Raw genomic sequence first — 27,152 nt, 5'->3', positions numbered from 1 at the left:
TTTTCAGGCAGGAGCTATCCTAGAATGGATTCTGGCGTAAGCATCAAAATCATTCATAACATTATCATTTTATGGCCCCTTCATTCTGTATCTGGTAGCTCTTAAACTATTATCATGAAGATAATCATTATTGTGCCTCTCTCAGCAGATGGTATTTCCTTATGCTACAATGGTACTACAAATATTAGCTCATAACACCTATGTATGTTAGAACCATTCTAACACCTTCTTAAGAATAATCTCATTTAACACTTAATAACAGTGAATTTATTATCTCCAATGTTAGGAAAGGAAATGAAGTTGGAAAGACCACATGACATTTTTTTCAGCATTGAAACCCTAGTTGAGATCAAGCCCAAACTTGGACCTATGTTGTCTGACTATAGAACTTTTGTTATTTATCAGTATGTTTTATTATTTTTATACATTAAAATTGAAGATCTTGGAGTTTAAACATTTTTTTAGTACTACCAATTGTAAGACCCCTTTTCATGATACTTTGTCTTTATGTAAACCTAAACTAACTATCTATCTATATATATATATATATATATATATATATATATATATATATATATATATATATATGTATAGACAGAAAAACAGAGAGTCTTAACACTAACCACCCCCTCCTGTATGGTCAACATTTTTGTTACTTTAGGATACACCACCCCAATTAACTTCACAACAAACTTTGGAGTCATGTAGTACTATTTTTAGGAATGAGAAAATCCAGGTACAAAGGGTAATTGGCAATTATCTTTTGCAAAGTCTGTGGTGCTCATCTGAAAAGATGACGATCACTTCTTGTTTAGTGGAAAGACAATAAATAGTTGATAAGTAATAGTCTTCCATCAGAGAGTTTTGTAATGAGAAACCCTGACTCCTCAGTTCCCCAGTGGATGACTGCAGTTCACTCTCGGTCTTTGCTATTGTGTTACCTGCTTATCCATTTTGTTACCTTTTAATGCATTACATAAATGCATAAATATTCTTTAATAATGGTGCTTTCCTCACATCTATGCCATCCGTGTTCATCAAGATCTTCTTTCAGTTTCTTTGACAACTAAAACTGTACATATGTATTGTGTATGGCGTAATATTTCTACTGCACAGCATAGCTTTACACAATGTGGTAAAAACTATGGACTCTCCCAGGAAAATGCACACACACCGTACCCCTGTCTCATAAGGCAGTTTATAATTTCAAAGTGCATGGAGCCCGTCCTGCACACCATTCTCCCACACCCCGCTCCAGCGCCTCTCCCCGAGTTACAGACCTCACTGTGGGCCCCCGGGAACCAGCGCAGAGGTTTAAGCGGTGTGGGGTCAACTCCAAGGGTCAGGAGTTGGCAACTGGTTGGTTCCCCATATAATTGATGCCCCCAACACAGCATCTCCCCGAACCAATAATAGAAGCTTCTGACTCCTTCGCCCACCCTTCTGACTTCTTGCTTCTCCCATGGAAGCAGGTGTGGGAACCGCTGAGCAGAACACCCTCCCCCAGCGGGAAATCCGGGACACGCAGGAGCCTCAGTGAATCCGACCATTGTCTCATCTCACCAGGCAGGTGCCTCCTCCATCCTATGTGCGATCAACTTTATTACTACAATTATTAATATAAAGCTGTTGTAACCAAGCGGGTAATAGAGGAACGCCACACTTTGAGACTAATTCAGGAGTTCTTTATTAGCCAGCGATCGAGAGACGGCTAGCGCTCAAAATTCTCTCAGCCCTGACGAAGGGGCTAGGGAAGAGGGGCTGGCACTCAGTCCCCGCCTCGCGGGGGGTGCCTCAGCCCCCTGCGATGGGGGTCCTAAGAGCCAGGAGGGGAAGATGGGGAGAGGATGATAATAATTTCAGCATTGCCGGCTGTGTTCACCCAGCCTGTGAAATTGTTATTAATATCCTGAAAGGGAGAGAATGATATTACTCCCCATAATAGACAGATATGACTCCGCATAATAGAGCACGAGGTGTACACCCACCCTGTGATATTCTTCCTCATATTCAGAGGCCAAGAAGTTGATATTACTCGTAGTATTGCAGGACGTATACACCCTCGTGTTAGATGGTCCTTAATAATATTCCAAAGCAGAGTGGGTGATGTGACTACATATATGGCAGAAAGTGGAAATCCCCCTGGCATATTGTTCCCACGGTCCTGGAGGGAAGAAAATGATATTACTTTCAATATGACAGAAGGTGGACACGCCCCCACTGATATTGTTTCTAATTGCAAGGTGGGAGAGGAGGATATGACACGCGATATCGCAGGGAGTAGAAACACCCCTGTGATACTGTTCTTAATATTCAGGGAGGAAGAGGATGATATTACTCCCAATACAGATGGGTGTACGCCCTCTGTACACTGAGGGTGTACACCCGTCTGTGAAACAGTTCATAATCTCCGGAGGTCTCCAGAGGGGGAGATGATATTACTCACAATATGGTAAACAGGCTGTGAGTCCACCGTGGATCCTAAGAGCCAGGGGGGGAAGAGGGGCTGGCTCTCAGTCACCACAGCATGGGGGGCCTTTATGTTCAGGTTTTGCCCAAGAGTCAGCTTATTTGCTTCTAGTACTAGCAGGGTAGTTGCTGCCAAGGCCCTCCAACAGGGGGGCCATCTTTTAGAAACCCTGTCTAGTTGTTTAGAGACGTAGGCCACTGGCCTCAGCCAGGTCCCCACAGTTTGGGTTAAAAGTCCAGCTGCCATCTTTTCTCTCTGTGAAGCATACAATGGAAAAGGCTTTGTCACATCGGGTAGCCCCAGGGCTGGGGCTGCCAGAAGTTTTTCCTTTAACTCATGAAAGCCTTCCTGTTGTTGGGATCCCCATTGGAAAGCTTTCCGGTCCCCACCCCCTTTGTGACCTCATACAAAGGCTTGGCTAATACTGCAAAGTTTGGAATCCACAGTCTACAAAACCCCACAGCTCCTAAGAATTCTCTAACCTGCCTTCTGCCCTTAGGCTCCGGTAGATTGCAAACGACCTGCTTTCTTTCTGATCCCGGGCTGCGTTCGGACCCCTGTCGTATAGAAAATCCCAAGTAAGGTACCTGCCGTCGGCAGATCTGAGCTTTCTTCTTGGACACCTAATACCCACAGTCCTCCAGGTGGGTCCTAAGGATCTTAGGATCCGCAATGGGGGTCTTAGCCAGTGGGGGAAGAGGGGCTGGCTCTCAGTCCGTGCCTCACGGGGGGTGCCTCCCCCGCCTGCGATGGGGGTCCTAAGAGCCAGGGGGGAAAGAGGGGCTTTCTCTCAGTCTCTGCCTCGCGGGGGGTGCATCCCCCCACTGCGATGGGGGTCCTAAGAGTCAGGGGGCGAAGACGGGCTGGCTCTCAGTCCCCGCCTCGCGGGGGGGGGGCCTCCCCCCCGGGATGGGTGTCCCAAAAGCCAGTGGGGGAAGAGGGGCTGACTCTCCGTCCCCGCCTCGTGGTGTGTACCTCCCCCCACTGCGATGGTGGTCCCAAGAGCCAGGGGGGAAGTGGGGCTGGCTCTCAGTCCCCGCCTCGCATGGGGTGCCTCCTCCTCCCTGCGATGGGGGCCGAAGAGCGAGAGGTGAAGAGGGGCTGGCTCTCAGTCCCTGCCTCACGGGGGGTACCTCCCCCGCTGCGATGGCTGTCCTAAGACACGGGGGGGAAGAGGAGCTGGCTCTCAGTACCTGCCTCGCGTGGGGTGCCAAGCGCCTGCGATGGGGGTCCTAAGAGCCACGGGGGGAAGAGGGGCAGGCTCTCCGTCCCTGCCTCGCGGGGGGTGCCTCTCCCCGCTGTGATGGGGGTCCTAATAGCCAGGGGGCGCAGAGGGGCTGGCTCTCAGTCCCCGCCTCGTGTGGGGTGCCTCCCCCCCCCGCAATGGGGGTCCTAAGAGCCAGGGGAGGAAGAGAGGCTGGCTCTCAGTCCCTGCCTCGCGGGGGGTGCCTCCCTCACCAGCAATGGGGCTCCTAAGAGCCAGGGGGGAAGAGGGGCTGGCTCCGGTACATTGCAAATGACCTGCTTTTTTTCTGATCCCGAGCTGCGTTCAGACCCCTGTCGGATAGTAAATCCCAAGTAAGGTACCTTCTGCTGGAAGATCTGAGCTTTCTTCTTGGACACCTAAAACCCACAGTCCTCCAGGTGGGTGCTAAGGATCTTAGAATCCGCGGTGGGGGTCCTAAGCCAGAGGGGGAAGAGGGGCTGGCTCTCAGTCCCCGCCTCGTGGGGGATGCCTCCCCTCCTGCCATGGGGGTCCTAAGAGCCAGGTTGAAAGAGGGGCTGGCTCTCAGTCCCAGCCTCGTAGGGGGTGCCTCACCCCCTGCGATGGGTGTCTTAATAGCCAGCGAGGGGAGAGGGGCTGGCTCTCAGTCCCGGCCTCCTGGGGTGTGTCTCCCCCTCCTGCGATGGGGGGTCCTAATAGCCCGGGGGGGAAAGGCGCTGGCTCTCAGTCCCCGCCCCGTGGGGGGTGCTTCCCTCCCCCCCGCGTTAGGGGACCTAAGAGCCGGAGGGGGAAGAGGGGCTGTCTCTCAGTCCCCGCCTCGCGGGGGGTGCCTCCCCCCCTGCGATGGGGGTCCCAAGAGCCTGGGGGGGAAGAGGGGCTGGCTCGCAGTCCCCGACTCGTGGGGGATGCCTCCCCCCCTTGCCATGGGGGATGCCTCCCCGCCTTGCCATGGGGGGATGCCTCCCCGCCTTGCCATGGGGGGATGCCTCCCCGCCTTGCCATGGGGGGATGCCTCCCCGCCTTGCCATGGGGGGATGCCTCCCCGCCTTGCCATGGGGGGATGCCTCCCCGCCTTGCCATGGGGGGATGCCTCCCCGCCTTGCCATGGGGGGATGCCTCCCCGCCTTGCCATGGGGGGATGCCTCCCCGCCTTGCCATGGGGGGATGCCTCCCCGCCTTGCCATGGGGGGATGCCTCCCCGCCTTGCCATGGGGGGATGCCTCCCCGCCTTGCCATGGGGGGATGCCTCCCCGCCTTGCCATGGGGGGATGCCTCCCCGCCTTGCCATGGGGGGATGCCTCCCCGCCTTGCCATGGGGGGATGCCTCCCCGCCTTGCCATGGGGGGATGCCTCCCCGCCTTGCCATGGGGGGATGCCTCCCCGCCTTGCCATGGGGGGATGCCTCCCCGCCTTGCCATGGGGGGATGCCTCCCCGCCTTGCCATGGGGGGATGCCTCCCCGCCTTGCCATGGGGGGATGCCTCCCCGCCTTGCCAAGAGCCAGGTTGAAAGAGGGGCTGGCTCTCAGTCCCAGCCTTGTAGGGGGTGCCTCACCCCCTGCGTTGGGTGTCTTAATAGCCAGCGGGGGGAGAGGGGCTGGCTCTCAGTCCCAGCCTCCTGGGGTGTGTCTCACCCTCCTGCGATGGGGGTCCTAATAGCCCCGGGGGGAAAGGCGCTGGCTCTCAGTCCCCGCCCCGTGGGGGGTGCTTCCCCCCCGCGATGGGGGACCTAAGAGCCAGGTGGGGAAGAGGGGCTGCCTCTCAGTCCCCGCCTCGCGGGGGGTGCCTCCCCCGCCTGCGATGGGGGTCCCAAGAGCCAGGGGGAAAGAGGGGCTTTCTCTCAGTCTCTGCCTCGCGGGGGGTGCATCCCTCCACTGCGATGGGGGTTCTAAGAGCCAGAGGGGAAGAGGGGCTGGCTCTCAGAACCTGGCTCGCGGGGGGTGCCTCCCGCCCCTGCGATGGGGGTCCCAAGAGCCCGGGGCAGAAGAGTTGCTGGCTGTCAGTCCCCGCCTCGCTGGGGGTGCCTCCCCCCATCGCGATGGGGGTCCCAAAAGCCAGTGGGGGAAGAGGGGCTGACACTCTGTCCCCGCCTCGCGGTGTGTACCTGCCCCCCCCCCCCGCCTCGCGGTGTGTACCTGCCCCCACTGCGATGGTGGTCCCAAGAGTCAGGGGGGAAGTGGGGCTGGCTCTCAATCCCCGCCTCGCATGGGGTGCCTCCCCCCCCGCGATGGGGGCCTAAGAGCGAGAGGTGAAGAGGGGCTGACTCTCAGTCCCCGCCTTGCATGGGGTACCTCTACCCCCCTGCGATGGCAGTCCTAAGAGACCCGGGGTGAAGAGGAGCTGGCTCTCAGTACCCGCCTCGCGTGGGGTGCCAAGCGCCTGCGATGGGGGTCCTATGAGCCACGGGGGGAAGAGCGGCAGGCTCTCCGTCCCTGCCTCGCGGGGGGTCCCTCTCCCCCGTGCGATGGGGGGTCCCTCCCCCCTGTGCGACGGGGGTCCTAATAGCCAGGAGGGGCAGAGGGGCTGTCTCTCAGTCCCCGCCTCATGTGGGGTGCCTCCCCCCTGTGATGGGGATCCCAAGAGCTGGGGGGAAGTGGGTCTGGCTCTCAGTTCATGCCTCACAGCGGGTGCCTCCCCCCTCTGCGTTGGTTGTTCTAAGAGCCAGGGGGGGAAAAGGGGCTTGCTCTCAGTCCCCGCCTCGCGGGGGGTGCTTCCCTCACCCGCGATCGGGCTCCTAAGAGCCACGGGGGGTAGAGGGGCTGGTTCTCAGTCCCCGCCTCGCATGGGGTGCCTCCCCCCCTTGCGATGCCTCCCCCCCTTGCGATGCCTCCCCCCCTTGCGATGCCTCCCCCCCTTGCGATGCCTCCCCCCCTTGCGATGCCTCCCCCCCTTGCGATGCCTCCCCCCCTTGCGATGCCTCCCCCCCTTGCGATGCCTCCCCCCCTTGCGATGCCTCCCCCCCTTGCGATGCCTCCCCCCCTTGCGATGCCTCCCCCCCTTGCGATGCCTCCCCCCCTTGCGATGCCTCCCCCCCTTGCGATGCCTCCCCCCCTTGCGATGCCTCCCCCCCTTGCGATGCCTCCCCCCCTTGCGATGCCTCCCCCCCTTGCGATGCCTCCCCCCCTTGCGATGCCTCCCCCCCTTGCGATGGGGGTCCGAAGAGCCGCGTGGGGGAGAGGGGCTGGCTCTCAGTCCCCACCTCGCGGGGGGTGCCTCCTCCCCCCTGCGATGGGGGTCCCAAGAGCCTGGGGGGCAAGAGGGGCTGGCTCTCAGTCCCCGCCTCGCGGGGGGTGTGTTCCCCCCTGCAATGGGGGTCTTAAGAGCCAGGGGGAAAGAGCGGCTGGCTCTCAGTCCCCGCCTCACAGGGGGTGCCTCCCCACACTGCGACGGCGGTCCGAAGAGCCTGGAGGGGGGAAGAGGGGCAGGCTCTCAGTCCCCGCCTCGCTGGGGGTGCCTCCCCCACCTGTGACGGGGGTCCTAAAAGCCAGGGGTGGAAGTGGGGCTGGCTCTCAGTCCCCGCCTCGCGAGGTGTGCCTCCCCCACCTGCGATGGGGGTCCCAAGAGCCCGGGGCGGAAGAGTTGCTGGCTGTCAGTCCCTGCCTCGCTGGGGGTGCCTCCCCCCACTGCGATGGCTGTCCTAAGAGCCAGGGGGTGAAGAGGGGCTGGCTCTCAGTTCCCGCCTGGCGGGAGTGCCTCCCCCCCCCGCGATGGGGGTCCTAACATCCTGAGGGGGAAGAGGAGCTCTCTCTCAGTCCCCGCCTCGCTGCGGGTGCCTCCGCCCCTGCGATGGGGGTCCTAAGAACCAGGGAGGAAGAGGGGCTGGCTGTCAGTCCCCGTCTCCCGCGGCGTGCCTCCCACCCCTGCGATGGTTGTCCCAAGAGCCACGGGGGAAAGAGGGACAGACTCTCAGTCCCCGCCTCGCTTGGGGTGCCTCCCTCCCTTGCGATGGGGGTCCTAAGAGCCAGGGGGGCAACAGGGGCTGGCTCTCAGTCCCCGCCTCGCGGGAGGTGCCTCCCCACCCTGCTATGGGGGTCCTAAGAGCCGGGGGTGGGAGGGACTGGCTCTCAGTCTCCGCCTCGCGGTGGGTGCCTCCCCGCCCTGCGATGGGGATCCTAAGAGCCAGGGGGGGAAGAGGGGCTTTTCTCTAAGGATCAAAACACTGTCACCTTTAGCAGTGAAGGATCCAGTGAGATTTTCCAGGTTAACGGTCATAATCGCCTACTGGTCCAACGTTCAGAAGTAACACAGGCACCTGGACAATACACAGTAGATGTGGAAGGACACGGTTGTACATTTATCCAGGTAACAGAAATCTGCCTAAGAGGGTGATGAGTGTTTGCCAGTAAAAGAGTCAGACTGTCTGTTCAGTTCTACGTGAAGTGTTATTTGACCGTTTTGTGTATTTACATAATCAATAGCCAAAATTGCAAGTTACTTTTTGAAAAGCTACTCAGCTGTCTAAGAGAAGTTTCTTGAGGAATATTGCTATTAGAAAGTATTCTATCTTCATTAAATTACATTATTCTGAAAACTAAAGAATTTAACCTGATTCCCTGATGATAAAGATGTAAACTGCGTTAGTAATAGAAATAAACAATAGGCTCTTTCTTTTTAAAAATGTTTTAATTTTTGTGGGTACATAGTAGGTGTAAATATTTACCGGGTGCATGATACAGGCATGCAACGTGTAAGAATCACATCAGGGCAAGTGGGGTATGCTCACCTCAAGCATTTATCCATTGTGTTACCAATGATCGAAGTATACTCTTGGTTATTTTAAAATGTAAAATCACATTACTACTGACTCTAGTCAGACTGTATAATTCTTAATACAGGATGGGTTTTCTTATAATTTGCTATCCTTTCTAGGCCACCCTTAAGTACAATGTTCTCCTACCTAAGAAGGCATCTGGATTTTCTCTTTCCTTGGAAATAGTAAAGAACTACTCTTCGACTGCTTTTGACCTCACAGTGACCCTCAAGTAAGTGTCATATTTTGACAGTAACTCCCATGTGAACAAGATGGTAAAATATTTTAAAAGTTCAAACAGTAGTGAAATAACAAAATATAAATCATGGTAATATGATGAGTTCTCATGTTGGTGGTGACAATTCTACAGCACAGTCACTTTTTAGCCCTCTGTCCGGACACCACAATTTAGTACATCTTCAGCTAAATCAGAGCTAAAATGAGGCAAGAAAACATGCAGTCTATGTGAGCAGGATTTGAAAGCTTTCACTGCACTGATGTTTCAATGATACTTTTTATTCTGTTGTATGGAAGTACTCCTAGTTTTGAAAAACAGAGATTCTATATTTCTTTCTCAAGACAAGCATGCATGGTCATATAGTAGCAAGCCCACAAATGTTTCTTTTGTAACTGTAAAGAGTAACATTTTAGATTTTTACTTTTCAGAATAGAAAAACAAAATGATCCTCTTGAATTCAAGCATGATTTATAGATGCTAAAGGCTTTTAGCCTTAGTTAATATGTGGAAAACATTGAGTAAAATTAGTTTGGGAGATATTTTTTAGAATTTCTAAATAAAAATCGCTTGAGCTCCAGGGCTAAGAACTCAGTGAATTGGGGAACTCTTTTTCTTTTTTGGGTTTGTTTTTGAGACAGAGTCTTACTTTGTCACCCAGGCTGCAGTACAGTGGCACAGTGGCACAATCTCAGCTCACTGCAACTTCCACCTCCTGGGTTCAAGGGATTCTTATGGCTCAGCCTCCTGAGTAGCTGGGATTAGAGGCGTGCACCACCACACCTGGCTAATTTTTCTATTTTTAGTAGAGTCAGAGTTTTGCCATATTGGCCAGGCTGGTCTTGAACTCTGACCCTCAAGTGATCCACCCACCTTGGCCTCCAGAAGTGCTGGGATTACAGGTGTGAGCAACCATGCCCTGATGAACTATGGAACTCTCAACTTCACACCCCCATAGTCTTATCCAGAAGCAGGAAACTGAGCTAGAAGTTCTCCTGGGGACACATCTACTCTCTAATTATGCTCATATACCACCTTTTAAGCAAAGATGTCCTCTAAGTGTTATGCAACTCTAACACTAACCTAAGTATATGTAAAAGATTTAGAAGCTCTGTTTATCAGTTCAAACTTTGAGACTGCAGGTAAGCTTAAAAGCAGGGTTTGGGGAAGATTTCATGTCCAGATAATTCATTATTTGCTCCAATTTCTGTTGCTATGTATCATCTCTTTCATTATCATTCTGGTCGTGCCTATTCACAGATGCTTGAAAATGACTTTCTTCCGATGTTTTCTCTTCAGCTTTTACCTGTCCTCCAGATTTCTAGCCAATTAGTATTTATCCACCTGGCACTCTCATTATGAGATAAGTCACTTTTTAAAATTGATATCTAAACGAGTGTTTTCTTAAAATTTTCAGATACACTGGAATTCGCAATAAATCCAGTATGGTGGTTATAGATGTAAAAATGCTATCAGGATTTACTCCAACCATGTCATCCATTGAAGAGGTAAATAATAGAAGCCTAATCTTTCAGCACAAAGACAGCTACATAGAGTATAAAGATAAAATAAATACTTGTTCAGCCATAGTTTAGCAAAACAAAACTATAGAGTTCTTCTTCAACATTCACCTTTGTATTTTTGCGCTAACACTGGAGAGCTGGTTTACTTAATTTGTACCAATTAGCAGTCAGTATTTCCCATGGTTCATCATATATTTTTCTTTAGTTGCTACCTGTGTTTATGAAAACATCACGGCACCAAGGAATGTTCCATAAAACAGAACGTGACGTAGAAAAGAGTGGACATTGAGTTCTGCAGTGGCGCTGTCATTTGTTCTAAAATCTATTCTCTATCCTTCCCTAACAATTTCTTCAAAGCTTGAAAACAAGGGCCAAGTGATGAAGACTGAAGTCAAGAATGACCATGTTCTTTTCTACTTGGAAAATGTAAGTTTAGCCATATTTTTTTTTCTTTAAAGTTTTTCTTTTTTCCTTCCAAGGATAATTGGATGCTTCAATTTCTTATAGATATGTATGATAGGATCTGTAAAAGGAAAAAATAAGGGACGTTAAGGATTACCAGTGTTTTATCCCACTGATCATCTTCTCCTTGCTAGTTCCAAGGCTATTTCATATATGCCCTGGCTATGTGACTAGATAGCTTTCCATTTTAGAAACATCATCTCCCTATCAAACACAGTCTGGTCACAGAGTAGATATGTAATTATTTTATAATTTGACTAAACTCTTACAATGTTTGCCATAATTTTTTGAAATTACAATTGCGTACTGAAGGTATGTGGTGTGACGTTTTGATATATATAGTGAGCTGATTGTTATCATCTAGCGTGACTATATGTGAATTAGCTGACTAACACATCCCTCTCTTCACACAGTTACCTCTTCTTTTTTTGTGACAAAGCACTTAAGATCTACTCCCTTAGGGAATATTACATATACAGTACAGCATTGTTAACTGTAGGCCACCGCTGTACCCGAGATTTGTAGAATGTATTCATCCTGCACAGCTGAAGCTTTCTATCCTTTGACCAGCATCTCCCCATTTTCCCATCCCTGATAACTGCCATTCTACTCTCTGCATCTATGAACTCAACTTTAGATTTAACTTACAGGTGAGATCCTGCAGTGTTTTTTGTGTGTATCTGGTTTGTTTCATTCCACATAATGTCCTCCAAGTTCTTCAGTGTTGTTACAAATGGCAGAAATTCTTTTTTTTTAAGGCCGAATAATTTGTATGTGGATATGCCTCAGTTTCATTATCCATTCATCTGTTTCGAACACTTAGGTTGACTCCTTATGTTGGCTATTGTGATTAATGAAAGAATTAGCATGGGACTGCAGCTGTCTCTTCAAAATATTCATCTCATTTTCTTTGGATGCATACCCAGAAATGGGATTGCTGGATCATAGGGTAGTTCTATTTTTATTCTACTGAGGAAACGCCAAACTGTGGCATGCGCTTTAGGGACATCCTTTCTATGTGTATTGTTACCACTCACATAAATGCCTACATTCCTCTAAGACTTCCAGCTAAATTCCTCTCACCTCAGTGTAAGCAAAGGAACTTGAAATTTTATATGATTTAAGGTTAACAACTCATTATTTTGCCAATGTGTAAGTTAATCATACCCTAGATCTATTTAATTATGTAGATCATAAACTTCTGCGGACAATTTTCTCAGTGATTATCTTTTCTCAGACCTGCTACAATGTAATTATAATTTGTGTCATGATAGGGTTTTGGTCGAGCAGACAGTTTCCCTTTTTCTGTTGAGCAGAGCAACCTTGTGTTCAACATTCAGCCAGCCCCAGCCATGGTCTACGATTACTATGAAAAAGGTAGGCAAGCAACAGCCATGCCCTAAGGTTATTGAATGTGGTATTTATATCTAATATTCCCTGAGCTACTAAATTTCCAAAATCAACCTCCGTCTTCACAGAGTAAACAATAGATGGCATTACTTTGTATACTGGTTTCTTTATCCCATGATGTGTCTTCTGACTGAACCCATTTTCCAGTTACCAGAGTTTTTCAACACCAGAATCCTTGCAATATAACCTGACAGGGCTCCACTTGAACTTGAAATACAAGCCACACTAAGCTTCCAGGTCTTTTTGTTATTGTCATTGTTGTTCATGCTAAGACTGACTGTTCCAAGCTACTTCTGTGGACTTTGACTTAAAGAGAGGAGTGGGGAATATTCTGAAATGCTAACTAACTTAAAAATTTGATAGATTAATTTCTAAAACATATACAAAGATGTTGTAGAGACCATACAACTGTTCCCTGGAAGGTTGGTACTATTTATTTCTTGTTGAATGCTGTGTGAAGTTTGTGGAGTGTTTGAATTCTGTCTCTATCATTTACTAATAGAATATATTTCATCAAGTGTCTTAAATATTATTAGCATATTTCTGGATGTATAAAATGGGAAAGTAATTGTCTCTATTTCAAAATTATTGGAAGGATTAGATCTAATGTGCTTATATCATCTATTTAATAAAAATACATGTTCCCTTTATTTTTTCAGAAGAATATGCCCTAGCTTTTTACAACATCGACAGTAGTTCAGTTTCCGAGTGAGACAAAGCAATTACTAGAAGAGGTAAAGAAATTTTATTACGTCATAAACCATTGAAAACACATCTAGTAAGAAAATGAAAACCTGAATAAGATAGGACAATAGTTGAAGAAAGAAAAGTGTCTGGTACTTCATTAGACTTGTGTAGCTGTGTACTGCATGAGTAATCTGATAATCATTAAGATTATATTAATTTCTTTAAAAATAGCTTTAAAGAATTCACAGCTATATATGTACCTTTTATAAATCTCTCATTTTTGTTTTGTAAGTTGACAGGTCAGTAAAAATTTAGGCATATATATTTGTACATATGTGTGTGTATGTACATGTCTATGTGCCTATATATGCATGTTTTTATATCTAAATATCTATTTATATATACATACAAACGTGTTTATTGTTTAAATGATGTTTTAAATCCCAGTTGGAGAAGCATTTCTTGTAACAAACTGATTCTTCTGTATCAAACCTGGAAAAAAATCATGAACCATCTGACATCGTGAACAGTCTGCAGTGGGCTATGGTTTCTTGTCAAGTCTTATTTCCTTATCATCCCATTAAATGTTGTCATTTTGCATCTGAGTCTATGACTTTTTTTTCTTCCAGTACTCTATTCACAGTTTTAATCCTAGAAAACGCAGGGATTTTTTTTTTTTGACAGCAACTTGAATAATTTGCTGTATGGCTGTCAACTCTAAATTTGAGTATTTAGACATTATGGAACACAGAGTTAAAATTCTTCCACATACAAAGAAAGAGAGAGAGAGAAAGAAGTGGGGGAAGAGAAAGGAGACTAAGTGAAAGTTGAAATGGACTCCATGTTAATTCAAGGAAACAAAAATAAATGCACAAAACACATAGACTCGAATGTATCTTCCGAGATCAAATCTGCCTCAGGCCTAATCCAACGTTGCCCATCCCGTTGGAGCAAAGGCATTGCTTGTGCAGAGGATCGGCCAGGACGTCCTATGCTTGCATCCTTACTCACCAGGTAAACACGCTCCTCATGCTCCAGATGTAGGCGGTCGTCGTCACCCCCGAGGGATACTGGTCAGGTACTCAGGGATGGTTGAGAAATGGTTGTGGCCCGCCTCAGACCACCCCACGCAGTGGGCTGAGTGAATTTCCAAAGCACAGAGACAGCATTGCAAAGGCACAGTGTACCGGGTTGGGCCCTGGACATACACTGTGCAGTCCATCTCAGATGAGGTAACGGGAGCAAGTTGGTGTGTCCCAGGCCACAGGCACTTCTCACATCCCACCTGAGTGGGAGCCATCACAGGCTAGCATCCTCTTGTCCTGCCCTGATCCTGGTTTTCTGCCTGGCTTTGCAGGTCAAAGGGCATCCTTCCACCTGGAAGGATCCTGGGGGAGACATCTCTCAGAAGACAGTCCCAGAACATGGAATGTGACCTTGTTTGGAAATAGGGTCTTTGCAGATGTTACCAAAGTAAGAGAAGCTCACAGTGGATTAGAGTGGGCCCCATCTAGTCTAATGATTGCTGTCCTTAACACACACATCCACACACACACACACACAGGCGCGAATGTGCCCATGAAAAAGGGAGGCAGAGGTTAGAGTGATGTGTCTACCAGGCATGGGAAGTGAACGGTTGCCAGAAACCAGCAGAAGCCAGGAGAGAGCCATGGAGTTGATCTGCCTCACAGCCTCTAGTTGGAACTCATCCCGTCAATACCTTGATTTTGCACTTGTAGCCTTCTCAACTGACAGAATAAACTCCTGTTGTTTAAAACCAGCCAGGTGTGGCATGTTTTCACGAGAGCCCTAGGAACCCAATACATCGACTTTCAAGGGCCGCATCCCACTGACTTCGAAGCAGGCCTGGATCCGTGTGTTGTCTCAGTTCTGGGAGCTCCCATGAGCCTGCAGAGAGACTGCAGGGTCTTCCTGGACAGTTCCTGAGGAGGAAAGAGAGACTCAGAGGATTGCCCCGATGTCGCCCCTCCCTCCTCCTAAACTCTGCTGGGCTCTCCCACTCCCCCAGGAAGACTTCCCTGCTAACTTCTGCCCTGCAAGTTGACCCTGACATTTTCAAGTGCCACCCGCCCCTGTGAACTTGAATGGATTGCGCTGTTCTTTGCACAAGAACAGAAACAGCTGCCTGGAGTGCAGCTTGTCCTAGTGGCTGGGACTTCCCTGACACACAGCTCCCCTTATCTGTTGTGGAGCGGTCTCACTGACATCTGAGCAAGCAACTGGAAGAAGCTTCAGCCCCAGTTCTAAAGGTTCACAGTGACTGACAGCTGGGGTTGAGACAGACCCGCCTTCTGTAGGTGGACTTTGGCGCTGGCCTTAGTTATCCTTTTATAGACATTACCTTTGGAGGGGGCACAATTTTCACCCTCCTGCCCTGCCACACCAGAGTATTTTTTATTCTTTGTATCCAGTTATTTCTTGGTGTTTCTTGGTGAATTGAATGGAAGATATGCTTTTTCCTAAGCATGGCTATGGCACAAGAGGCTTTCCGAAGCAGCTGCTCAGGTGGCTCAGCCTGGAAACTGGGGCAGGCTGTGAGGGAGCGTCTTCCTGAGCCCTCAGTATGTCATCCACGAGGGACAGGATGGGCTCTGGGGACTTGTTCTTCGCCCCTTCCAGAGCTGAAACCAGAATGAGACTACCTGTGTCTCCAAAAAATAAAAAAAATTATCTGGGCTTGGCAGCATGCACCGGTAGTCCTAGCTACTTGGGAGGCTGAGGCAGGAGGACTGTTTGTGTGTGCCCAGGAGTTTGAGGATACAATGAGCCATGATCGCACTTAAGCCTGGGTGACAGAGAAGGAACCTGTCTCTTAAAAAAAAAAAGAAGAAAAAGGAAAAGAAATCACCTTGTTTGTGAATAGAGACAATTTCTTTCTTTCTAATCTTACTACCTTTATTTTGTGTCATTTTCTTCCCTTATTGTATTGGCTAGGACTTCCAGTACCATGTTGGATAGGAGTGATGAGAGTAAACATCCTTGCCTGGTTCTCAATCTTATGGGGAAGGCAATCAGTTTTTCATCACTAAGTAAGATGTTTGCTGTAGGCTTTTTGAAGGTGCGATACATCAGGTTAAGAAGCTTGCTTCTATTCCTAGTTTGCAGAAAATCTGTAATAGGAAAATATGTTGAATTCTGTAAATTTTTTTTCTATATCAATTGATGTGATCATGTTGATTTTCTTGTTAGATTATTACTATGGCAGATTACATTGACTGATCTTCAAGTATTGAAGCAGTCTTGCATTCCCAGGAAGAACCCACTTGGTTATGGTATATTCCAAGGACTACATAAACACGTGCACAAACACACACACACACACACACACACACATTCCAGAAGTAGCACAAGTTCAAAATACAAAACTCATTTAATTTGTATATACTAACAATAACTAACAGAAAATCAACATTTTAAAATAATTGCATTTGTACTATCTCTGAAAAAATGAAATGATTGAGTCTATATAAGATCTGTATGCTGAAAATGTACAAAATGCTGTAAACAAAATCACAGAAGACCTAAATCAATGAAGAAATACATGGATCCATGGGTAGAAATACTTAATAAAGACTTCAATTCTTCCCAAATTGATCTATACTTTTAATACAACTCCATCGAAATCCCACCATAGGATATGTTGTATATCAGGTAATCTGATTTTAAAAGACATGTAAAGATTAAAAGGTAGAAAAAAGAATGATGTCAGAAAAGCGATGCTACACAATTTTAAAGTTCTGCTCCAATGCTGAAGTAATCAAGACAGTGTGATTCCAGCAAAGGGATAGACACAGAGATCAATGGGACAGACTGTATCCAGGAATAGATCCACACTGACATGGAAAATTGATTTCTAACAAAGCTGCAAAGACAACTCAATAGAGAAAGGAGAATCTTTCAACAAATGCTACTGAAACAATTGAACTTTCATAAGCAAAAAATTGAACCTCAACCTAAAGCTCCTACCTTTATATAAACATTAATTCAAACGGAGCACAGATTTAAATAAAAAATGTAACACTATGAAACTTTTAGAAGAAACCATAGGAGAAATATTCAAGACTAAGTTGTTAGACATGACACCAATATAACAATTTGTAGAAGAAAATACTGACAAAATGAACTTCCTCAATATGTAGGACTTTTGCTCTGTGAAGGATCTTATTAAGAGGATGAAAAGACATGCTACAGGCTGAGTGAAAACACCTGCAAACCATATAGCTGACAAAGGACTTGTATGTAGAATCTATGAAGAACCTTCAAAATTCAACACATTTTTTTTAAAAAAACAATCCGGTGTAAAAGTGGGCAAAAGACATGAAAAGACATTTTGTCAAAGAAAGAACATGAACAGCAAATAAGCACAAGTGAATATGATCAGCATCAGTAACCATTAGAGAAATGCAAATTAAAACAATGAAGTATCGCTATGTCTGTTAGAAAGGATAAGCTCAATGATGACACCAAATCCTGGCAAGATTGCTTAGAAACCAGACAACTCACACATCACTGGCATCACTTGAACAAGGTATAGCCACTCTGGAAAAGAGTTTGGCAGTTTCTTATAAAACCAAAGGTACATGTCCTATGTGACTCAGCAATTTCACTCTTCAGGATTTAACCTGAAGAATGAAAGCAGGTTCACAAAAACCTGTACATCAATGTTCTTAAAAGTTTTATTCAAAATAGCCTCAAACTGGAAACCACCCAAATATCTTTCAATGGTGAAAGACTCAACAAATTCTACCATATCCATATAAGAGACTACTACCCAGGAATAAAAAGCAAGAAATTATTGATACAGGCAAAAACTTGGAGGTTTTGTTAGAGCGTGAAACTTGGTGAAAAAAGCCAATCTTTTGTTGAAGATTGGCTTTTGGCTTTTGTTGACGAAAGAAAAAACTTCCTCTTATGAAAAAAGCCAATCTTCTAAAAGGTTTTACACTTACAAGCTTCCATGTATAAAACATTCTCCTGTTGTGGGATAATTTAGGAATCAGAGAGACCGAGGGGTTGAGGAGGATTTATTATTATTATTTAGGTGCATTGGCCCAGTCAGATTAACATCCAAAGGACTGAGCCCCGAACAAAGAGTCAAGTTACCTTTTAAGCATTTCATGGGTGGGGGAAGATTTGTGCAGGGGGAAGCATATTACAGAAGCGAGAAACAAAGACAGTTATTCAATTGAGACTTGCATTACATTATTTCTTACTTTTCAAGGAAAAACATATTTTACAACTTGAGTTTATCTGTCTAGTGACCTTGGAGCTGCACAGCTAGAGAAACAGGGTCTTCATAATGCCTGGGAAAGGGAGAGATAAGGCTCACTAGCCACAGAAAAACAGGCAGTTAATTTTTAAAGGACTCCAGCTCTTTCTCTTCCTCAGGGGGAATTGGGTTTTCTTACATACAACTGAGTTTTTGCTTACACATTCTTTAATTTCTTTTAATTCCTGTTCCACTCCAACTAACAAAACTATAGAGATGGAGGACAGATTGGTGGTTGCCAGGAGACAGGGACAAGGTACGAGGATGTGACTAAAAAGAGGTAGCACAAGTGAATTCCTCTCAGTGATGAAACAGTTCTTTGGCAAGGACAGTTGGTGCAAGTGGTTACAGGATACTACACATGAGATCACCTTGCATAGAACACACACACACAAAGGAGTGCATGCAAACACTGTGAAAACTGCATAAGGTCTGTAGTCTAACAATAGTCAGACAATGCCCATGCCCTGGTTTTGATGGTGTCCTGCTGTTCTGTAAGATAGCTGTTCTGTTAGGGAAAGCCGGGTAAAGCATCCAAGGGACTCTGTCTACTACTTTTGTGACTCTCTGTGAATCTACAATCATTTCAAAATAAAAACTTTAAAGAAAATCAACCAAGTGATTTTTATATAATAAACGTCAGGTTAATCCTCACCTTGGGAGGGAATAGAGACTAGGGAGCATCGCAATGGTGGATTCTGGAGTGCTGGCAGTGTCCTTTTTTGTTTTTCTAACCTAGATGATGATGACATAGATACTCCTTTGTGACAAGTCATTGAGGTGTACGTATTGTTTCATAAACTTATGTGTGTTAAACTATCGAAAAGAATTAAGTTAAAAGAAGAACTTTAAGGTAAATACAGCATTTTACATAAAAGAAACATGGAGCTGTATTTTTGTTAATGGGTCCAAAACAGAAAAACAGAGATTGATTTAAACAACTCTCTAGATAGGTTTCACAGCAGACTAGGCACAGCTGAAGAGTGAATGAGTGAATTGGAAGACAGAGTGACCAATTTACAGCACAGATATGTAGAAAGATGAGCAAAGTAAAATAGAGTTTTACTCCAATATGTGCTTAAGGGGAATTAAAAAAAAATTGAGTAGTTGGGCAAGAGGTAATCATTGAAGTGACAATGGCTGAGAATTTTTCAGAATTAAAAAAGATAACCCTTGGGTTGAAAAGGCACATCAAGTCTTTTACAGGATTAAAAATACATATTTATTTATTAGATAGTAGATAAACCCCTAGACACATTGGGATAAAAGAAAAAATTTAAAAAATGAGGAAACACCAAAAGGTTAAAAGAAAAAAGAAAGATTTGCTGCAAAGAAAAGATTGCCAAGCCAACAGCAGACATCTCATCAGCAACAGTAGATGAGACAATGGAATAATAACTTCCACGTTTTGAGGGAAAATAACAATGAGCCTAAATCATCAGCAGCAGTAGATGAGACAATGGAATAATAACTTCCACGTTTTGAGGGACAATAACAATGAGCCTAAAAATTTATCCCCAGCTACCCCAGTATTCACGAGTGAGGTTATTTAAAATAATTTTATAAAATGTGGCTATTTTATAAATGCAGTTATTTAAAATAATTTTATAAAATGATATTTGATGATGGGGAAATGCTCACACTACATTAAGTTAAAAAAGACAAGGAAATGGATAATGGGTATAAAAATACAGTTAGAAGGATTATGACCTAGTGTTCAGTAGCACAATAGGGTGATTGTACTTAATAATTTATTGTATATTTCAAAATAACTGAAAGAGTGGAATTGGAATGTTCCTAATACAAAGAAATGATCAATGCTTCAGGTGATGGGCATCCCAAGTACTCTGGTTTGATTATTACATTTTGTATGCTTGCATCAAAATATCACATGTACCCAATAAATAGGTACAACTGATATGTATCCACAATAATTAACAACAAAAAAAGACAGGTTACAAAAAGTATCTATACTATTGTTGTAGACATAGCCAATGATATGGATAACGGAGTTGGATATATCCAGATTATACACTTATGTGTATACTACATATATACATACAACTATACACATATGTATGTGTACATACACTCACATATGAATGCACAGATAAAACTGAAAGGAAATACATCAAAATGGTAACATATCTGTTAGTTTTTGAAGGGAAGGCGAAGGTTAAAAAAAGACACAGGAAGAGCTGGCAGCTCGACAGCAACACAAGTTTATTGCCAGAGCGACCTGCTGAGGTGGGGGACCAGCTTAACGCCAGAGCCCACCACCGCTTACAGGCTAGGGTACTTATAGGTATGGGCGGGCAGGGTCTGGGTGGCGTGGTTTGCTGCTTGACAAAGATGTTCCTTCAGTTGGGCCTTTGCTCGGCAGGGTATGATAAGGACATTCCTGTGCCTTGTGGTCAGGTGGTGGGGCAGGACATTTCTCACGGTGGAACCCCCATGGAATGTTTTGCTCTGCCAAGGTCTGTGAAACGGCAGGGGGCTTACAAAACAGTGCAGTTTGGACTAACAGTACCCAGATTGTACATTTAAAAATCATTTTTCTGTTCTTCGAAGGGCTTTTCAATATGTTCTGTATAGTCTAAAATAAGCATATGTTACATTGTCACATTTAAAATGTTATTTTTTTAAGTATGTTCTCTTCAAAATGCATTTAAACTGTCTGACAAATTAGAAAATTGTTTATTAAAAGCAAAGAGGCTTATAGACAAATCCTAATTCAGGTGGATTCAACAAATATTCTTTAGGCATTTTCTATATGCTGGCAATTATGAGAGTATTTAAGATAAGTCTAGTATAAATCTAGAGAAAAACATGACAAATACTTATAACATAGGATAACATATGTGATATTATAGGCATACACAATGTTCTGAAATAATACAGAGGAGGGCATAATTATGCACCAGCTAGGAGGAGGTTCAAAGAAGAGGGCCTACTGAGTAGGGCTTTTCAGGATGTAAAGGAATAGAGGGAATGGCATGGGAGGAGAAAGAACTTTTCAAAAAAAGACAACAGGGCCAGGAGTGGTGGCTTGTGCCTGTAAGCTCACCACTTTGGGAGGTCGAGCTGAGGGGAACACTTGAGCCCAGGAGTTCGAGACCAACCTGGGCAACATAGTGAGACCCCTGTCTCTATTGAAATAAGTTTAATATTTTAAAAAGACAACAGAGTACACAAGAAGCATTGACACAGAGAAAACACGACATGCAGAAGAAAGCAGAGTCAAGTGGGTAACATTGTTTCTGGTTAACACTGTTTCTAACATCAAATGATGAAAGCAGCATGAGGCTATTAAAATTGGCATCAGAAAGTGCATTCAGTGACTTCAATCTTTAGTGGAAGTTCCTAGTGTATGAAATGAACAGATGAGGAAAGGCCTTAATTGCTGTGCTATGGGAATAGGGAACCACTAAAGGGCTAAGGATGAGAGGATCTGTAATTCAGAGAAATTGCTCTGTTGGTAAAGTGGAGGGTGAATTTGAGGGGAATGAGACTGGAGGCAGGAGCAAGGCAATAATGAAACGGCCTCATTGTCTGGAGTATCACCTGAAGTTTGTGGTCTCACAGCCATGGAGAACAAGGATGCGGACTCACAAAGAGTGAGGTTAAGAGTGGAAGTTCAACAGGCAGAAGAAAAGCTCTCTGCTGCAGAGAGGGGTCACAGAGAAATGGATTGCCAGTCCACGGCCAAATGCAGAGGGTTTTATAGATGAGCTGGTGAGGAGGTGGTGTCTGATTTACATAGGACATGAAAGACTAGTCAGACCAAGCATGCCATTTGCACAGGGCATGAAAAACTGCTTAGACCAGGTGTGTCGTTTGCATAGGGTGAGAAATTCTAGTCGCCCCCTCCCTAATCTTGTATTATGCAGGTGGGTTCTCTGCCTGAGCCGCGCCATGTTGCCCATTTCTCTATTACTGCACACGTGGTGACAGAAAAGGGAAGATGGGCCCTCTATGTTGGACATGCCCGGCCCCCAGGTAGCCCTTTTCTATTGGCACAGCTGCCAGCATTCCCCCGTGCAAGCTTCCAGCTTGCTTATCTATGTTTGCAGCTCAATTTTTCAGGCTGCTCTTTGTTAGAAAAAAAATTTGTTGGGCTGCTTTTTGTTAGAAGGGAAGCTCTGCCAAGGACTCTGTTCCCCTCACTATCTGCCTAAATAATTTCTTTACCTCCTGTATCAGTAGCAGTGGAGGTGAGGAGAAAAAATATGTCAGACTTGGCCACTGATTAGAAAAGGTGAGAGGAGGGGTCAAGGAAAGGGAAAAGTGCTGGATCACGCCCAGGTTTCAGGCTGGAACAGGACAAATGGCAGAAGCATACAATGTTGAAAATAGAGGCAGAGAAGACCACTTGAGTGGAGAGGGATAACGGGGCATTCTAGGACAGGATGGGTTTGAGATTTCCTGACTGTATCCAAGTGGAAAAGTCTTGGGAGCATGAGGATTCACCGGAGCTCAGAGCAGAAGACAGGGAATGTGGAGTCATCAGCTTGCAGGTGATGGCTGAATCCATTCTCCCACTTCAGCAGAGAAGCACCCAAGCAAAGTGCTGAGAATCCTGGAGAACACCAACATTCCCCAGTGAGCTCAAAGAGAATTTAGAGGAGGCGCAGAGGAAAAATTAAATGGAAGAGAGTGCTGTAGAGAGCACCATAATCCAGGGCTTGGTCTGGAGGCAGGCTGCTTGAATAACCATTTCCTTTTCTGTAAATGAGAGTAAAATTATCTACCCACGCATGGAAAAAAAAAATTCTCAACAAACTAGAAACAGGAAGGAACTTCATCAACATAATACAAAGCATCTGTGAAAACCTTACAGTTAACACATTTAATGGTGCAAGGCTGAATGCTTTCCCCCTAAGATTGGGAATAAGACAAGGATGGCCATGTTCAGCAGGTCTATTCAGTTTTGTAATGAGGTTTTGGCCCAGGCAATTAGGCGATCCATATACAACAGAATCCAGACTAGAAAAGAAGTAAAACTGTCTTACTCACAAGTGACATGATCTTGTATACAGAAAATCCTAAGGAATCCCCTAAAAAAAAAACCCTAGAACTAGTTCAGCAAGTTCACAAAATTGGCATAGAAAAATCAATTGTATTTCTATACACTAGCAATGAACAGTCCAAGAATGAAATTAAGAAAATTATTCCATTCACAATAGCATCCAAAAGAATAAAATACTTAGAAATAAATTTAACAACAGGAAAACTTGTACACTAAGAACTTCAAAACATTGTTGAAAGAAATTAAAGAAGACCTAAAGAAATGAAAGATGTTACTTGTTCATAGATCTGAAAACTAAATGTTACTAAGATATCAACACTCTCAAAATTGGTCTACAGGTTCAACCCAATTCCTGCCAAAATCCCAGCTGCCTTTTCTGCAGAAATTGGCAAATGAATCCTAAAATTCACATGGAAATGCAAAGGACACGGAATAAGCAAAACAATCCTGACAAAGAACAAGGTGGGAGGACTTACCATCCTAACTTCAAAACTTACAAAGTAATCAAGAGTATGGTACCAGCATAAGGACAGATGTATAGGTCGATGGAATGTAATTGAAAGCTCAGGCAAGTACTCTCACCTGTAATCTCAGCACTTTGGGAGACCGAGACAAGGGGATCCCTTGAGGCCTGGAGCTCAAGACTAGCCTAGGCAACACAGTGAGACCTGTGTCTACATACAAAACATTTTTTTGTATCAATGTACCAAAATCAATTTAAAAATTTTGCTTTTCATTAGCCAGGCATGGCGGTGCACACCTGTAATCCTAGCTACTCAGGAAGTTGAGATGGTAGGATCACCTGAGCCTAGGAATTTTAGCCTTCAGTGAGCTATGATTGGCTACCACACTCCAGGTCAGGCAACAGAGAGAGAGATCGTGTGAGTAAAGAAAAAAAATAAGTAAATAAAAAGCCAAGGATGGTGGCTAACACCTCATATCCCAATACTTTGGGGGGCCAATGAGGGAGAATCCCTTGGAGCCAGGAGTTGAGATCAGCCTGGGCAACATAACAAGACCCTATGTCTACAAAAATAAAACTAAAAATTAGCTGGGCATGGTGGCACACACCTGTAGTCCCAGCTACTTGGGAGGCTGAGAGGGGAGGATGACTTGAGCTCAGGAGTTCAAAACCAGTCTGGGCAACATAGTAAGACACTGCCTCCAAAAAATTAATTAACTAATTTAAAAAATTGATAGCCCAGAAATAAACCCTTACATTTACAATCAATTGATTTGACAAAGGTACCAAGAAAAATCATTTGGAAAGAAATAGTCTTTTCTTTTTCTTCCTTTATTTTTTGGTTTTTAAGAGATGAGTATCTCACTATGTAGCCCAGGCTGGTCTCAAACTCCTGGACTCAAGTGATCCTCCTACCTCAGCTTCCGAAATACTGGGATTACGGGTGTGAGCCACTACACCCAGCCAGGAATAGTTGTTTCAACAAATGGTGGTGGGACAACGGGATATCCATGTGCAAAAACATTGAGTCCCTAACTACCACCACACACAAAAATTAACTTAAAATGAGTCATATACCTAAATGCAAGGACTAAAACTATAAAACTCTTAGAAGAAAACATAGAAGTAAATCTTTGTGATCTTGTGTTAGGCAATTGATGCCTTAGATACAACACCAAAACCACAAGTGAGAAAAGGAAAAAATGGCAAATTGGACATCAGCCAAATTTAAAACCCTGGCACATCAAAAGACACAAGAAAGGTTTCTCCCAACCCACAGAATGGGAGAAAATATTTATAAATCATATCTCTAGTAAGTGACATATCCAGAACTCTTACAACTCAGTATTAAAACATAATCCAGGCCAGGCGTGGTGGCTCATGCCTGTAATCCCAGCACTTCGGGAGGCCAAGGTGGGCAGATCACTTGAGGACAGGAGTTCGAGACCAGCCTGGCCAACATGGCGACACCCCATCTCTACTAAAAATACAAAAAATTAGCCAGGTGTGGTGGTGCATGCCTGTAATCCCAGCTACTTGGGTGGCTGAGGCATGAGAATCGCTTGAACCCAGGAGGCGGAGGTTGCAGTGAGCTGAGATCGTGCCATTGCATTCTATCCTGAGTGACAGAGAGAGACTCTGTCTCCAAGAAAAAAGAGAGAGAGAATCCTATTTAAAATGGGCAAAGAACCATCCAAAAAAGATGTATTAAAGTCCAAAAAGCACATTAAAAACTGCTCAATGTCATTAATTGCTAAGAAAATGCAATTCAATTCACAATGAGAAGTCACTTCACACCTGCTAGAAGGACTATAACCAATCAGAAAAATAATATCAAGTGCTGGAGAGGATGTGGAAAAATCAAAACCCACATAGATTGCTGGTGGGAATGTAAAATAGTGCAGCTATTTTTTGGGAAAACAGTATGACAGTTTCTCAAAATGTTAGATGAATTGCCTTAAACCCAGCAACTTCACTTCTGTGTACCTGTCCAGGGAAAATGAAAGTCTATGCCCACACACTGACTTGTATGTGAATGTTCATGGCAGCACCATTCACAAGAACCAAAAGGCAGAGACAACACAAATGCCCATCATCCGGTGAAGAGATTTAAAAAAAAAAAAGTGTGGTATATAACGGAATACTATTCGGCAATAAAAGGAAAATTCTGATGCACGCTACCACATTGATTAACCTCAACAACACAATGCTTTGTGAAAGAAGCCAGATGCAGAATAACACACACTGACTGATTCAATTTATATGAAATGTCCAGAATTGCCTGATATAGATTAGTGGTTGCCTAGGACTGGGGATGAGAATGAAGAGTGACTCTGATAGGCACAACTTTTCTTTCTGGGATGATGGAATGTTTCAAAAGTAGATTTTAGTGATGGTTGCACAATTCTGTAAATAGACTAAATATATTAAAAATCACTGAATTGTACACTTAAAAGGGGTGAATTTTAGTAGGTAAATTCTACCTCAATTAAAGCTGTCAATTAAAAAAAAAACTTTTAAAACTGTAACATCGACCCTTAGCACCAAGATTGTGGTCCTCAAATACCCTTACCCACTAAAGGAAACCAAGGCTTCTTAGAGAAATTGATGATTCCAGGTCTGGGCTAGAAATGCTTAAGACAAGACTGGAACATATTGTCACTCTAGATAGCAAGGAATCTATCAAAGATCATTAGGATGATATCAATATGCTTCAAGAGCCAATCTGAAGGAACTCCTTCTGACCAAAGATAGAACATTTTGTATATCAATAAGTATAATAATTGCAATGGACTAAACTACATCAAATATGTTTAAATCTCTGCATTCATAATGATTCTTTATTAAAAATAAGAGTGAGCCAGGCAGGGTGGCTCAGGACTGTAATCTCAGCACTTTGGAAAGCAGAGACAGAAAGATCACTTGAGCATAGGAGTTCGAGACCAGCCTGGGCAACATAGGGAGACCCCCGTCTCTAAAAAACATTTTTAAAATGAGCCATGCCTGATGCTGTGTGTCTGTGGTCCCAGCTACTTGGGAGGCAAAGGTGGGAGGACCCCTTGAGCCAGGAAGGTTGAGGGTGTGGTTAGCTGTGATTGCGTCACTGCACACCAACGTGGGTGACAGAGTGAGAGAGACCCTATCTAAACAAATAAATAAAGCAACTACCTGGCCTTTTCTATATAAATTGTACAACTGAGTAACACAATAATTTATAAAGAGAAGTATCTCTTTTTATATTTACTTTTTCATTTTATTTTTTTCTTCTACAAGGCTGTTCTCAGGGTAGCAGTATCTCTTTATAGAAGTATGACAGCACAAAAATGAGCAGGAATGATATCACAATACCACCATTGTTCAATCCATAATCAATCAGTGGCTGGCAACATCACCAAAAAAAAAAAAAAAAAAAAAAAAAAAAAAAAAATATATATATATATATATATATATATATATATATATATATATATATATATATATATGCCGGACAGTACACACCTCCTGATGGAAGAACCTAGCAAAGTATTTTTACCCTGCCCCACAAATCCAACCTGCCTCTGACCAAGTTTTTAGATCGTACCACTAATTTATAGTAAATAGAGAGAACAAA

At 44.8% G+C, this 27,152-nt stretch overlaps 3 long non-coding RNA genes across 3 annotated transcripts in view, besides 1 other annotated feature; 1 reads left to right on the top strand and 2 right to left on the bottom strand.

Annotated features, from left to right (window-relative positions):
• Positions 1–1,669: 1,669 nt before the first annotated feature.
• LOC105369647 (uncharacterized) lies at positions 1,670–2,080 on the bottom strand. Its single transcript, XR_001748996.2, has 2 exons — positions 1,989–2,080; positions 1,670–1,909 (listed from the first exon to the last, which is right to left on the bottom strand). It is a non-coding gene; the product is annotated as an uncharacterized LOC105369647 (long non-coding RNA).
• Positions 2,081–3,007: 927 nt separating this feature from the next.
• LOC728715 (ovostatin homolog 2) lies at positions 3,008–13,365 on the top strand. The gene is made up of 9 exons (NR_144634.1): positions 3,008–3,114; positions 4,024–4,114; positions 7,869–7,995; positions 8,563–8,675; positions 10,096–10,186; positions 10,559–10,627; positions 11,980–12,040; positions 12,733–12,807; positions 13,208–13,365. It is a non-coding gene; the product is annotated as an ovostatin homolog 2 (long non-coding RNA).
• Positions 6,863–7,504: an enhancer, noted in NCBI's record as "H3K27ac-H3K4me1 hESC enhancer chr12:9555514-9556155 (GRCh37/hg19 assembly coordinates)". NCBI's record gives its function as "activates a minimal SCP1, AML or CMV promoter by ChIP-STARR-seq in naive H9 embryonic stem cells {active_cell/tissue: H9 hESC(naive)}" and the evidence as "EXISTENCE:reporter gene assay evidence [ECO:0000049][PMID:30033119]".
• LINC02367 (long intergenic non-protein coding RNA 2367) overlaps positions 12,805–27,152 on the bottom strand; it is a 30,154-nt gene continuing 15,806 nt past the window's right edge. The window contains exons 3-4 of the long non-coding RNA NR_120479.1: positions 15,765–15,891; positions 12,805–14,703 (exon numbers count right to left, since the gene is read on the bottom strand). This is a non-coding gene — a long non-coding RNA (long intergenic non-protein coding RNA 2367). The remainder of the gene's footprint in view (positions 14,704–15,764; positions 15,892–27,152) is intronic.

Source organism: Homo sapiens, chromosome 12 (genome assembly GCF_000001405.40).
Source record: "Homo sapiens chromosome 12, GRCh38.p14 Primary Assembly".
Taxonomy (NCBI): Eukaryota; Metazoa; Chordata; class Mammalia; order Primates; family Hominidae; genus Homo; species Homo sapiens.
The sequence above is the reverse complement of the archived record's forward strand: the minus strand, read 5'-3'. Positions and strand labels throughout refer to the sequence as shown.